Source organism: Homo sapiens, chromosome 12 (assembly GCF_000001405.40).
Source record: "Homo sapiens chromosome 12, GRCh38.p14 Primary Assembly".
Lineage (NCBI taxonomy): Eukaryota > Metazoa > Chordata > Mammalia > Primates > Hominidae > Homo > Homo sapiens.
Genome location: NC_000012.12, coordinates 132,955,024 through 132,968,472, shown reverse-complemented (window position 1 = coordinate 132,968,472; position 13,449 = coordinate 132,955,024). Strand labels below are relative to the sequence as shown.

At 49.9% G+C, this 13,449-nt stretch overlaps 1 protein-coding gene and 1 long non-coding RNA gene across 3 annotated transcripts in view, besides 5 other annotated features; one reads left to right on the top strand and one right to left on the bottom strand.

Annotated features, from left to right (window-relative positions):
- LOC124903064 (uncharacterized) overlaps nt 1-11,924 on the bottom strand; it is a 27,162-nt gene extending 15,238 nt beyond the window's left edge. Inside the window, exon 1 of the long non-coding RNA XR_007063552.1 lies at nt 11,743-11,924. This is a non-coding gene — a long non-coding RNA (uncharacterized LOC124903064). The remainder of the gene's footprint in view (nt 1-11,742) is intronic.
- Nucleotides 11,790-12,618: an enhancer, noted in NCBI's record as "H3K27ac-H3K4me1 hESC enhancer chr12:133532441-133533269 (GRCh37/hg19 assembly coordinates)". NCBI's record gives its function as "activates a minimal SCP1, AML or CMV promoter by ChIP-STARR-seq in primed H9 embryonic stem cells {active_cell/tissue: H9 hESC(primed)}" and the evidence as "EXISTENCE:reporter gene assay evidence [ECO:0000049][PMID:30033119]".
- Nucleotides 11,957-12,036: an enhancer, noted in NCBI's record as "active region_7394". NCBI's record gives its function as "activates an Ori minimal core promoter by ATAC-STARR-seq in GM12878 lymphoblastoid cells {active_cell/tissue: GM12878}" and the evidence as "EXISTENCE:reporter gene assay evidence [ECO:0000049][PMID:35858748]".
- The window catches only part of ZNF605 (zinc finger protein 605), a 38,001-nt gene continuing 36,718 nt past the window's right edge, over nt 12,167-13,449 (top strand). For both annotated transcript variants that reach the window (NM_001164715.2, NM_183238.4), the window contains exon 1: nt 12,167-12,230. The gene's annotated coding sequence lies outside the window, so the exon portion shown is untranslated. The remainder of the gene's footprint in view (nt 12,231-13,449) is intronic.
- Nucleotides 12,197-12,536: a silencer, noted in NCBI's record as "silent region_5133". NCBI's record gives its function as "represses an Ori minimal core promoter by ATAC-STARR-seq in GM12878 lymphoblastoid cells {active_cell/tissue: GM12878}" and the evidence as "EXISTENCE:reporter gene assay evidence [ECO:0000049][PMID:35858748]".
- Nucleotides 12,619-13,449: an enhancer, noted in NCBI's record as "H3K27ac-H3K4me1 hESC enhancer chr12:133531610-133532440 (GRCh37/hg19 assembly coordinates)". NCBI's record gives its function as "activates a minimal SCP1, AML or CMV promoter by ChIP-STARR-seq in primed H9 embryonic stem cells {active_cell/tissue: H9 hESC(primed)}" and the evidence as "EXISTENCE:reporter gene assay evidence [ECO:0000049][PMID:30033119]".
- Nucleotides 12,896-13,190: an enhancer, noted in NCBI's record as "tiled region #9872; K562 Activating non-DNase unmatched - State 2:TssF". NCBI's record gives its function as "activates a minimal TATA promoter and a strong SV40 promoter by Sharpr-MPRA in K562 cells {active_cell/tissue: K562}" and the evidence as "EXISTENCE:reporter gene assay evidence [ECO:0000049][PMID:27701403]".

Sequence of the window (13,449 nt, the reverse complement as noted above, 5' to 3'; positions counted from 1 at the left end):
GTGAAGAAACAAGCATAGAAAATTTGCTATTTGCCCAAGGACATAGGTAGCAATTGAAGGACTTATGGTATAAAGTCTGGGTCATTAGGGATCCAAATCCTGAGTTCTTTTCTTTATTCCATTTACCCCCAGTTGTCTCAGGATCCTTGGGGTGTTGCTTTTCCAGCCAGAAACCTCTGTGGCCTGTGGCGCCTTTGCCCGAGTTTTGCTCAGGCCCTCTAGACTCATTCTGTCCACTCAGCCTGGCATGTTGTGCTTGGCTCATGCCACCTGTCTGGACCCTGCGCTTGGCTCGCGCCACCTGCCTGGATCCTGCGCTTGGCTCGCGCCACCTGCCTGGATCCTGCGCTTGGCTCGCGCCACCTGCCTGGATCCTGCGCTTGGCTCGCGCCACCTGCCTGGATCCTGCGCTTGGCTCGCGCCACCTGTCTGGATCCTGCGCTTGGCTCGCGCCACCTGTCTGGATCCTGTGCTTGGCTTGCGCTACCTGTCTAGATCCTATGCCTGCAAAGGCTGAGTCAGGCGTGGCGCGATGAGGAGTGTGTGAGCGAGCATGGGGTCTGGCCGCTACACAGTAGACATGCCGGCTGCTGCAGTGGGGTGGGCAGCTCCAGGTGCTGGAATAGGCACCAGCTCTCGGCAAAGCTGTGGCTGGACCAGGTACACCACAAGCAGCTTCAACAGCTGGCACTGGGAAACGCAGTGGCATTCAGAAGCTTGGTGATGCCAAGGACCACAGGGCCCCTAAGAGGGAGTCACAGCCCTGGCTCAGGGAGCTTCCAGGTCTGGGATCCCCGAAGGGCCGCAGCTCTTCTCTCCTCTGCACTCGCAACATGGTGAGCAAGGGGCATGTTTCAGCCCTGTTTGTGTTACAGCTCTTTTAGCCCCACCATTCAACAGATCCTGAGTTCTTGTCCTGCGACCAGGAAGAAAGAGGTACACGGACAAGTGAAGGGTGAGCGAGGTGAAGAGGAGCTTTATTGAGCAATAGAACAGCTCAGAGGAGACCCACAGTGGGTAGCTCCTTTCTGCAGCCAGGGTGTCCTGACAAGCATTCAGCTCCTAGCAGAGAGAACACCCTGGAGTCGGAGGTGTTCTCACTCTCTACAAGCAGGTCATCCCATTATCTCTGCAGCTTTCAGCAGAGAGGAGGCCCTGGACTGGGTAGCTCTTCTCCACAGCTGGTTATCCTGACACCTGCTCAGCTCTGGCTGAGCCTGGGGCTTTCATGGGCCTCAGAGAGGAGAAAGAGCCTTCCAATGGGTCCATGGGTGGCTGTGGGTGGGCCTGGAAAAGGCACCACAAGTTCCCGCTCTGGTCTGCGGGACTGGGAGCCCGGCCCCCAGCCTTCTAGCCCTTCCTGGCCTCAAGGTGGGGCTCACCAGGGACACGCCCCCTTCCACCCAGGAACCTGTCTGCCTCCTGCTGTCTTCATGGTGCCCAGGCTGGGCAGTGCCAAGCTGCCCTCAGCCCCCCATCATCTTCCCTCCTATGCTCATCAGTGCCCAATGTCCAGAGGGGGCTGAGGCAGCAAGGGACTGGCGGGTCAGCACTGCCTTGAGAGCGTGCACACCCAGCCAGGCTGTGACAGTGCCCAGGCTTGGCCCCAGCTTTGCTCCGAGATTGGAGCAGGCACCGACAGCAGAGAAAAGCCAGGCAGGGGGAGCAGGCATTTCCCAGCCTGCGAGGTCAGGGGGGTCTTCCTGGGCCCTCCAGAGTGCAGAGATGCCTGGGTCTGCAGTCATGGTTTGCAGCTGCGTGGGAAGGAGGGGCGGGGTGGGATTCCTGCCTGTTTCATGGAGCCAGAGGCTCAGATCTGCAGCCACAGTTTGGACAGCTGCAGCTGTGTCCAGGAGGGTGGGGCTCCAGCCTGCTCCCCACCCTGAGAGCACGGGGATACCTGGGTGGTTTGGGCAGCTGCAGTGGCACCTGGGGAACTCCCACCCCAACTTGGAAGGGACGACGTGCTCACTTGTCCCCAGCTCCATGGAGCATGTAGCCCCAGGCGTGCTCCGCTGCTGCAGCCTGCATGATGGCAGCAGGCACTCCAGACAGCCCGCCGCTGCCACAATTTAATCTTCCCTTTCTATCTAAACCCAGAGCTAATAAGGCACTGCTATAGCCTCATAACATTCCTAACAAATTGTATTTTTAGCAAATTCCAGACACATATTCTATGCCCAGTTCTCTAACTGAAGCAAACTTAGTCACCACTTATGACCGTTCTTAGGCCGTCCTTCCACCTGGATTGTGAGATTATATCGTTGACGTAAGTTTAAATGCATAGTCCCTAATCATGCAGGCTTCCCAGAGCTATCCATATTAGACAAGAACCCTGGTCTCCTGCTACCCCAGGTCTTCTTATTCATAATTATATGAATCTTTTGTTACGTGTAAAGCTGCAACTGGCCTAAAACGACGCAGAGCTCCTTTGAGGGAAGAGAATCTACGGTTAGGAATCTACCGTTAGATTTACATGGAGGGGCGGAGAATCTACAGTTAGGAATCTACGGTTAGATTTACATGGACGGGAAAGAAAAGAGGTCCTGGAAAAGTGCGTAAGAGAAATAGACACCTGTAAAAATAATGAACGACAGGATACAGACCAGCGAAGAACAATGAGAACATTTGGGTATGTGAGACACGATAGAATCAACACAAGATAACCATTCTGTTCCTAGATGATCAGGGACAGTGTTCGGGCATTAAAAGAAGCAGAGTTAGCCGGGCCCAATGGCTCACGCCTGTAATCCCAGCACTTTGGGAGGCCAAGGAGGGCGGATCACCTGAGGCCAGGAGTTTGAGACCAGCCTGGCCAACATGGCAAATTCCCATGTCTACTAAAAATACGAAAATTAGCTGGGCATGGTGGCATGTGCCTGTAATCCCAGCTACTGGGGAGGCTGAGGCAGGAGAATCGCTTGAACCTGGGAGATGGAGATTGCAATGAGCCAAGATTGCAATGAGCCAAGATCACGCCACTGCACTCCAGCCTACAGAGACTCCATCTCAAAAAAAAAAAAAAAAAAAAAAAGAGGTAGAGTTGGGCCAGGCACGCAGTCATGGTGGCTCACGCCTGTAATTCTAGCACTTGTGCTCAGGACTTTGAGGCCAGCCTGGGCAAGATGGCAAAACCTGTCTCTACAAAAAAAATTTTCAGAAAATTATCTAGGCACGGTGGCATGTGCCTGTACTCCCTGCTACTTGGGAGGCTGAGTGGGAGGAGGCCAAGGCTGCAATGAGGCATGATCACACCCTTGCACTCCAGCCTGGGTGACAGAGTGAGACCCTGTCTCAGAAGAAAAAGCAGAGTTGCAACAACATGCATTAAAAAAAAAAAAAAAAAAGTATGGCTCACGCCTGTAATCCCAGCACTTTGGGAGGCCGAAGTGGGTGGATCACGAGGTCAGGAGACGCAGACCATCCTGGCTAACATGGTGAACCCCCGTCTCTACTAAAAAATACAAAAAATTAGCCGGGCATGGTGGCGGGCGCCTGTAGTCCCAGCTACTCGGGAGGCTGAGGCAGGAGAATGGCGTGAACCCGGGAGGCGGAGCTTGCAGTGAGCCGAGATCGCGCCACTGCACTCCAGCCTGGGCGACAGAGCGAGACTCCATCTCAAAACAAACAAACGAACAAAAAAGTAAAGTTACAACAACAAATAAGCATACATGATTTCTATAGGGACCAGCCCTACAGAGCCTGTGGGTTTTTCTCTTTATGTGCGGAGACGAGAGATTGTAGAAATAAAGACACAAGGCAAAGAGACAGAAGAAAAGACAGCTGGGCCCGGGGGACCACTACCACCAAGACGCAGAGACCGGTAGTGGCCCCGAATGCCAGGCTGCGCTGTTATTTGTTGGATACAAGACAAGGGCACAGGGTAAGGAGTGTGAGCCACCTCCAATGATAGGTAAGGTCACGCGAGTCACGTGTCCACTGGACAAGGGGCCCTTCCCTGCCTGGCAGCCGAGGCAGAGAGGGGAGTGGGGAGGGAGAACAGCTTATGTCATTATTTCTTATATGCATTTCTTGGAGGAATCAACAGCTTAATACTTTCACTAATTCTGCTACTGCTATCTAGAAGGTGGAGCCAGGTGTATAGGGTGGAACATGAAAGTGGACCAGGAGCATGACCGCTGAAGCACAGCATCACAGGGAGACGTTTAGGCCTCTGGATGGCTGCAGGCGGGCTTGACTGATGTCAGGCCTTCCACAAGAGGTGGTGGAGCAGAGTCTTCCCTCATCTCCCCAAGGGAAAGGGAGACTCCCTTTCCTGGTCTGCTAAGTAACGGGTGCCTTCCCAGGCGCTGGCGCGACCGCTAGACCAGGGAGCCCTCTAGTGGCCCTGTCCGGGTGTGACAGAAGGCTCACACTTGTCTTCTGGTCACTTCTCACCGTGTCCCTTCAGTTCCTATCTCTGTATGGCCTGGTTTTTCCAAGGTTATAATTGTAGAACAAACATTATTATAATATTGGAATAAAGAGTAATGCTACAAACTAATGATTGATATTCATATATAATCATATCTATAATCTATTTCTAGTATAACTATTCTTATTCTATATATTTTCTTTATTATACTGGAGCAGCTTGTGCCCTCGGTCTCTTGCCTCGGCACCTGGGTGGTTTGCGGCACACAGATTTCTTTTACTTCTATATTTTTAAATTATTTATCTTAGGGTTCTTTTGATTGGCATGGAAACAGATGCTGGGAATGCCCTACATAATTACTACAGTAAGTTTGTATTAAGACTCTTTCGAAGTAAAAGTGAATTTGTGGCTGGGTGCAATTGCTCATACCTGTAATCCCAGCACTTTGGGAGGTCAAGGTGGGTGGATCACTAGAGCTCAGGAGTTCGAGAGCAGCCTGGGCAACATGGTGAAACCCCGTCTTTACAAAAATTAACCAGGCATTAGGCTGGACACAGTGGCTCAAGCCTGTAATCCCAGCAGTATGGGAGGCCGAGGTAGGCGGATCACCTGAGGTCAGGAGTTTGAGACTAGCCTGACCAACATGGTGAAACCCTGTCTCTACTAAAAATACAAAAAATTAGCCAGGCATGGTCGTATGTGCCTGTAATCCCAACTACTCGGGAGGCTGGGGCATGAGAATCACTTGAACCCAGGAGGTGGAGGTTGCAGTGAGCCGAGATCGTGCCACTGCACTCCAGCCTGGGCAACAGAGCTAGACTCTGCCTCAAAAAAAAAAAAATTAGCTAGGCATGGTGGCACGTGCCTGTGGTCCCAGCTACTCAGGAGGCTGAGGTGGGAGGATCACCTGAGCCTGGAAGGTGGAGATGCAAACTGTATTTGCACCACTGCATTCCCATTGGTTCACAAAGTAAGATCCTGTCTCAAACAGAAAGAAATGAAAAGAAAAAAAAAAGAGTAAATTTGTAATAAGGCTCTGCCAGAAATATAACTCAAACTAGCTTAGACTAATAGAGGAAATCTATTGGCTTTTATAACCAAAGAAGTCGATCTGTAGGCTTCAGGAATAGCTGACTCCAGGGCTTCAATCAGCATAGGATATGCTAATTTAAAATAACTAAAAGGGCCTGGTGTGCTGGCTCACGCCTATAATCCCAGCACTTTGGGAGGCCGAGGTGGGAGGAGTTAAGAGACCAGCCTGGCCAATATGTTTAAACCCCATCTCTACTAAAAATATAAAAAGTTTGGCCAGGTGCGGTGGCTCACGCCTGTAATCCCAGCACTCTGGGAGGCCAAGGCAGCCAGATCACAAGGTCAGGAGATCAAGACCATCCTGGCTAACATGGTGAAACCCCGTCTCTACTAAAAAATACAAAAAATTAGCCGGGCTTGGTGGTGGGCGCCTGTAGTCCTAGCTACTCGGGAGGCTGAGGCAGGAGAATGGTGTGAACCCGGGAGGCGGAGCTTGCAGTGAGCAGAGATCGTGCCACTGCATTCCAGGCTGGGCGACAGAGCGAGACTCCGTCTCAAATGATAGTAATAATAAACATAATAAAAAACATAAAATCAGCCGGGCATGGTGGCTCAAGCCTGTAATCCCAGCACTTTGTGAAGCCGAGGCGGGCAGATCACGAGGTCAGGAGATGCAGACCATCCTGGCTAACAAGGTGCAACCCTGTCTCTACTAAAAATACAAAAAATTAGCTGGGTGTGGTGGTGCACGCCTGTAATCCCAGCTACTCGAGAGGCTGAGGCAGAATCTGGGAGGTAGAGGTTGCAGTGAGCCGAGATCACGCCACTGCACTCCAGCCTGGGCTACAGAGCAAGACTCCGTCTCAAATAATAATAATAATAATAATAATAATAATAATAATAATAAAATAACTAAAAGGATCTGACTGGGTGTGGGTGGCTCATGCCTGTAATCCCAGTACTCTGGGAGGCCAAGTCGGGTGGATCACCTGAGGTCAGGAGATGGAGACCAGCCCGGCCAACATGGCGAAACCCCGTCTCCACTAAAAATACAAATTTAGCCAGGCGTGGCGGGCGTGGTGGCAGGCACCTGTAATTCCAGCTACTCAGGGGGCTGAGGCAGGAGAGTCGCTTGAACCCGGGAGGCGGAGGTTGCAGTGAGCCGAGATCGCGCCATTGCACTCCAGCCTGGATGACAAGAGCGAAACTCAGTCTCAAAAATAAATAAATAAATAAAATAAAATAACTGAAAGGATCAGAATCTAGTTTAAAGAGAGTTTAAGTGTAAAGTTTGAGGACAGCCACCTGGGAAGTATAAATCTTAAAGAAAGAAAGTTCATATTTTGAAGTGTAGAAGTTTGGGATTGTTTATATAGACAATGTTTAGGAAAGTTTAGCAGAACTTTAATTCTTTACATATAAGGCTTAATGTAGAGTTATAATGGCCTGATTAGTTAAGGTAGTTTCTTTAGGGGGAAGATATACTCACTATTTTATATTGAAGATGTAGTAGTTATGGGTTTTCTGTGTTATTTGGTCTGAGTTAGGTTAGGTACAGGACGATAAAAAGGCATATATGTTAAATACATACAATTATAAATATATATATTTACAACTTGTATAGATATATAAATTGTCGTGGGGGAGCAGTGACTATATGGGAAAGTGGAATAGGAGTAAAAGAATTTACCAAGACAGGGCCAGGCGCGGTGGCTCACACCTGTAATCCCAGCACTTTGGGAGGCCGAGGCGGGCGGATCATGAGGTCAGGAGATCGAGACCATCCTGGCCAACATGGCGAAACTCCGTCTCTACCAAAATACAAAAAATTAGCCAGGCGTGGTGGAACACACCTGTAGTCCCAGCTACTTGGGAGGCTGAGGCAGTGGAATAGCTTGAACCCAGGAGTTGGAGGTTGCAGTAAGCCGAGATCGCGCCCCTGCACTCCAGCCTGGTGACAGAGCAAGACTCCGTCTCAAAAAAAAAAAAAAAAAAATTTACCAAGATAGGCAGATTTATTAGAGAAAGTAGGAAAATACTTTCAAGAAGGTAACAGGCAGCCAGCAAGAGAGGAACTGACTGCAAGGAAACAAAGGTTTCCTGGAGATGTAATAGGTGGTTCTTGGGCTGCAGAGTGCTACGTTCAGTTCTGACAACACCAAGGTTGCAGGAAGCTGACGTGCATTTTTTGTATCAGCCGAGGATCTGGTGATAGCTGGCCACAGGAAGATTGTGAGTTATGACAGCTCTGTGTCCTGGACCATTAAGAAAGGCAGACTTACAGCTTATCTGCTTTCTCTTATTTCGTATTTTGCTTTCCCCTGCTCCCACTACCCTGTCTCTTTTTCCCTAATTAGGACTCCACATTAATACATATTAATTTACAAAAGATAAGTGATTGTATGGGGAGGAGGAAAAAAGAAGTCAAGTCTTGGCAAGGCAGTTTGGAGAAGGAGGGATAAAGAGATGCAGAAGCAGAAGGGTGAGAAGTTTTGGCAGTTTCCTTTTTTAATATATCAATAGTTCTAAAGAGTTTAATTTTTTCTGTAGGGAAAGAAATTTTCAGTCTCTTTTAGATGCTTTTTAGTATTATTGAAAGTAACTTTCAATTTTTTAAAAATTTTAGACTCAGTTTTTAAAAATTATGCACGTAAATAAACTAATTAAGGTATTTTTAATGTCATTTCATTTTGGTCTTTGTAGTTTGGGGTCTTTATGGGTTAAATAAGACCATTTTAAAAGATATTGACAGGAGGTCGCATCATAAGTACTATATATGAATTTAGCTGGAGTTACTTAAAGGTATATATATATTTTTTTTTTTGAGATGGAGTTTCGCTCTTTTGCCCAGACTGGAATACGGTGGCACAATTTCAGCTCACTGCAACCTCCACCTTTCTGTTTCAAGCAATTCTCTTGCCTCAGACTCCCAAGTAGCTGGGATTACAGGCGCCGGCCACCATGCCCAGCTAATTTTTGTATTTTTAGTAGAGACGGGGTTTCACCATGTTGGACAGGCTGGTCTCGAACTCCTGACCTTGTGCTCCACCCACCTCAGCCTCCCAAAGCACTGAGATTACCGGCGTGAGGCACTGCATCCAGCCATTAAAGGTGTATTTCTTTTGAAGGGGAAAGACTCAGTTTTAGATGGATGAATGTCCATAATTTGGGGTTTTTGTTTTAAAGATCAAAGACTGAAAGGGAAAGAGTTGTTGGATCTGGTATGCTGCTTAATAAGGATTATTTATTGAAGAGTCACTTTTCAATAGATGTCTTGGTGAAACCCAGTAATTTTGGGCACTTAGGGCACTAGGAGATTTTTGTATTTTTTTTGTTGAGGGGAGTCTTATGGGTCCAACGTATGTCATGAACGATGAGCTTAAAGTTTCACAAAACCTAAGTCACTAAATTATCTTGTGGCTGGGAGAAAGAGTGTCTTATCTTTAAGACTTATCTCTGTCTTTATACAAAGTTTTTTTTACTGGCTTTGGTCATTTAAAATGGGACTTCAGATGTGCCAAATGAACTGAACTTAAGAGTTTAGCCAGTTTTTTTTTTTTTTAAACTTACAAGTTTTACTTAAGCCATGGAATTTTTTTTTAGAGAGAGAAACTGTTTTCTTTCCTGACCAAAATTGGAATGAAAGAAAAGGCCATGGCCATGCTCAGTGGCTCATGCCTGTAATCCCAGCACTTTGGGAGGCCAAGACAGGCGGATCACCTGAGGTCATGAGTTCGACACCAGCCTGGCCAACATGGTGAAGCCTCGTCTCTACAAAAATACAAAAAATTAGCCAGGCATGATGGTGGGTGCCTGTAATCCCAGCTACTCGGGGGGCAGAGGCGGGAGAATTGCTTCAACCCAGGAGGCAGAGGTAGCAGTGAACTGAGATCGCGCCACTGCACTCCAGCCTGGGTGACAGAGCAAGACTCCATCTCAAAAAAAAAAAAAAAAAAAAGGCGTATAAATTCTAGTAAGTCATTTAATAAATGACACGCTTAACCTCGGAGAAAAGTGAAAATCATAAATCTGTGAACAGCAAAATTTTCTGAGAACAAAAACAAAACTACCTTAAAGCAGAATTTTAATTTTAGCTCTGTTGAGCATGGAATTGGTTTGCTTAAATAAAGTTGAATCTCAGTTAGAAGCAGGGCAATGTGGGCTGGGTACGGTGGCTCAGGTCTGTAATCCCAGCACTTTGGGAGTCCGAGACGCATGGATCACCAGAGGTCAGGAGTTTGAGACCAGCCTTGCCAACATGGTGAAACCCATCTCTACTAAAAATACAAAAAGTAGCTGGGAGTGGCTGGGCGCAGTGGCTCACGCCTGTAATCCCAGCACTTCGGGAGGCCGAGGCAGGCGGATCACGAGGTTAAGAGATCAAGATCAGCCTGACCAACATGGTGAAACCACGTCTCTACTAAAAATACAAAAATTAGCCGGGCGTGGTGGCGCACGCCTGCAATCCCAGCTACTCGGGAGGCTGAGGCAGGAGAATCACTTGAACTCAGGAGGCGGAGGCTGCAGTGAGCCGATATTGTGCCACTGCACTCCAGCCTGGGCGACAAGAGCAAAACTCCATCTCTCACAGGCTCCAAATTTACTAATATAGAATTGAGCAAAATATTATTTCATATATACTTTAATTTGGTCTTTATGGCCATTTCAATTTTTTAAATTGCCAATTGTGAGTGTGTTTCCTGTTTCTCCCCATTTTTATTTTAAAAAACTAATATGCTTTTACAGTTTTTCTTTTTCTTTTTTTTTTTTTTTAGACAGAATCTCACTCTGTCTCCCAGGGTGGAGTGCAGTGGTGAGATCTCAGCTCACTGCAACCTCTGCCTCCTGGGTTCAAGCAATTCTCATGCCTCCACCTCCTGAGTAGGTGGGATTACAGGTATGAGCCATTACAGGCATGAGCCACCACACCTGGCTAATTTTTATATTTTTAGTACAGATGGGGTTTCACCATGTTGGTCAGGCTGGTCTCGAACTCCTGACCTCAGGTGATCCGCCCGCCTTAGCCTCCCAAAGTGCTGGGATTACAGGTGTGAGCCACCGCGCCTGGCCTGGCCAAAAAATATTTTTAAGAGAAGGTGTCTCCCTCTGTGGCCCAGGCTGGAGTGCAGTGTTGCCATCATAGCTCACTGCAGCCTCAACCTCCCAGGCTCAGGCAATCCTCCTGCCTCAGCCTCCAGTAGTTGGGACTACAGGGACAAGCCACTGCTTTATATATCCATAAATATATTTTATTTCCCTGTAATGTCCTCATCTCATTTATTTTTCCTTTTTTTTTTCTTGAGATGAGGTCTCACTCTGTTGCCAGGCTAGAGTGCAGCGGCATGATGGCTCACCGCAACCCCCGCCTCCCGAGTTCAAGTGATTCTCCTGCCTCAGCCTCCCGAGTAGATGGGATTACAGGCGCCCACCACCACGCCCAGCTAATGTTCTGTATTTTTAGTAGAGACGGGGTTTCACCGTGTTGGCCAGGATGGTCTCAATCTCCTGACCTGGTGATCCGCCCACCTCAGCCTCCCAAAGTGCTGGGATTACAGCCGTGAGCCACCGCGCCCAACCCTATCATCTATTTTCATTCCTTTTGTCAATACTGCTGGATTGGATGTACTAAATGTAAGGTCCTCTGAGCTGGCCGCACCATGGTCAAGCCATCGTGACATTCCCCCACCCTTGTGATAATGTACTTTGTAATATTCCCGGTCCTTGTGAATGTACTTTGTAACATTCCTCTCCGCCCTTGTGACAATACACCCTCCCCGCCCTTGTGAATGTACTTTGTAACATCCTCCCCTGCCCGCAAAAAATTGCTGCTGAGGCCGGGCGCGGTGGCTCACGCCCGTAATCCCAGCACTTTGGGAGGCCGAGGAGGGCGGATCACGAGGTCAGGAGATCAAGACCATCCTGGCTAACACAGTGAAACCCCGTCTCTACTAAAAATACAAAAAAATTAGCCGGGCGTGGTGGCGGGTGCCTGTAGTCCCAGCTACTCAGGAGGATGAGGCAGGAGAATGGCGTGAACCCGGGAGGCGGAGCTTGCAGTGAGCCGAGATCGCGCCACTGCACTCCAGCCTCGGCGACAGAGTGAGACTCTGTCTCAAAAAAAAAAAAAAAAAAAAAAATTGCTGCTGACTCCACCGCCTATCCTATCCCAAAGCTATAAGAACCAATGACAAGCCCACCACCCTCCGCTGACTCCTTTCTCAGACTCAGCCCACTTGCACCCAAGTGAATAAACAGGCGTGTTGCTCACACTTAGCCTGCTCAGGTGGTCTCCTATACGGACGCACGTAACACTAACATTTACCGATATTACTTACAGCTACGATGAAAAATGGAAAAGCAGCCGGACGCAGTGACTCATGCCTGTAATTCCAGCATTTTGGGAGGCTGGGGCAGGAGGATCATTTGAACCCAGGAGTCGGAGACCAGCCTGAGGCTGCAATGAGCGTTCATGGCACCACTGCACTCCCCACTGGGTGACAGAGCGAGACCCTGCCTCCAAAAAAAAAAAAAAAAAAAACAAGGAAAAGATGCAGACGCTTCCTCCTGGAGGCGCCTTTAGGTTCTCTCACAGACATGTTGGGCCAGCAGTGCTGGCTCCATCCTAGATTTCTTCCAGTCCTCCCCAGTTAGCCGCCAAGGGGCTTTTCCAACCGGAAACCTCCAATCCGCGACCCCGGCGGGTGCACCGCCGAGCCCCCCGGGAAGTGTAGTTCCAGCGCGAGCGGGACGCTGGGAAATGTAGTTCTGCGCGTTCACGTCCCCGATCGGGCCGTGTCCGCCGCGGCCCTGCGAGGTCCGAGGGGTAAGGGAGCGTGCAGCGGGGGCGGGACCACGAGGCGGCGGGGCTGGGGGCGGCCTCTGTGTCTGCGCCGGGGATCGCGGTGACCCCGCTGCGGACCGGCTCGCGGTGACCCCAGCGCGAACGAGCTGGCTGCCGGCTGGGGCGAGAAAGGCCTGCGGACCGGCCTGGGCGCATGCGCGGAAGGCGGGCCTCAGGCGGGGGCTCTGGGGGCGCGCGGGGGTGGGAGGCAGAGGGTGGGGTGGGGGCTGTAGGGCGGGCGGCGGCGGGGCGCTGAATGTGGGTGTCGGGGGAGATTTGGGGTCAGCTGGGCGATTCACTGGGGGCCTATGGAGGTCGCTGTAGACTTGGGGTGCAGCACGGGCGGGGCAAGGGGACGCGAGGTTGCCCTTGGCCCCAGGGGAGAGGGGCCCCTGGGAGGCCGTGTGGAGGATTTGTCTGCAGCGATTAGGACTCTGCTGATGAATGATTTGGATGCCTTTGGGTGAGCATTGGAGGCCAGCGGGGTGAATGATGAGGCTTCTGCGGGGGCCTGCGTTGGAGGGCTTAGGGGCTTGCTTGTGTGGGTTCCATTCACTGGAAAGCCTGCCGGCTGTGACAGTGTTGGATTTCACCAGAGCCCTGTGCTCCTGGAAAACAGCGAAGGTTGAGGAATTTCCCACCCTTTTGGGTTCCAGCAAATGGCTCACTGCAAAGATCTCCCGTTCCCTATATGACTTTGGTCAGCCTCCAGGATGCCCCTTGTTCACACAGACCTGCCACGTTGCCGTCGCTTGCCTCATCGGTGACTGGCTGAACTCCACCGAGCGGTCGGAGCAAAATGCTCCTTAAGCAAACTTTAGCTAAGCTTCTTTCCTTTCCCCATTTTCTTGAGCTTTGGCCCATCCCCAGCCTGAGCCAACACGCAGCCTCGCCTGAGAACAGGCTGGCTCAGGGTCAAGCTTTCCCCGCTCTGCTGTCTGGTCGCCCGCACTTCCACCTCGCTTGGCCAGGCCTGGTCTTTGCTAACCTTGTTCACACCTCTCTGTGAAAGAAAAACCCTTTTTGCCTTGCAGAGATGCACGTGAGTCTCGTGGCTTCACGGTTCTTCCCAGAAGCCCGTTCTCCTTCCCCTTCCCAACCCTCTTCCGCGTCTTTTTTTCCCCACTTCCAATAACCCTTTGGAACCGTCTTTCTTTGCTCTGTCCAGTTGTATGTTTTATTTGACAGCTGAATAACAGTG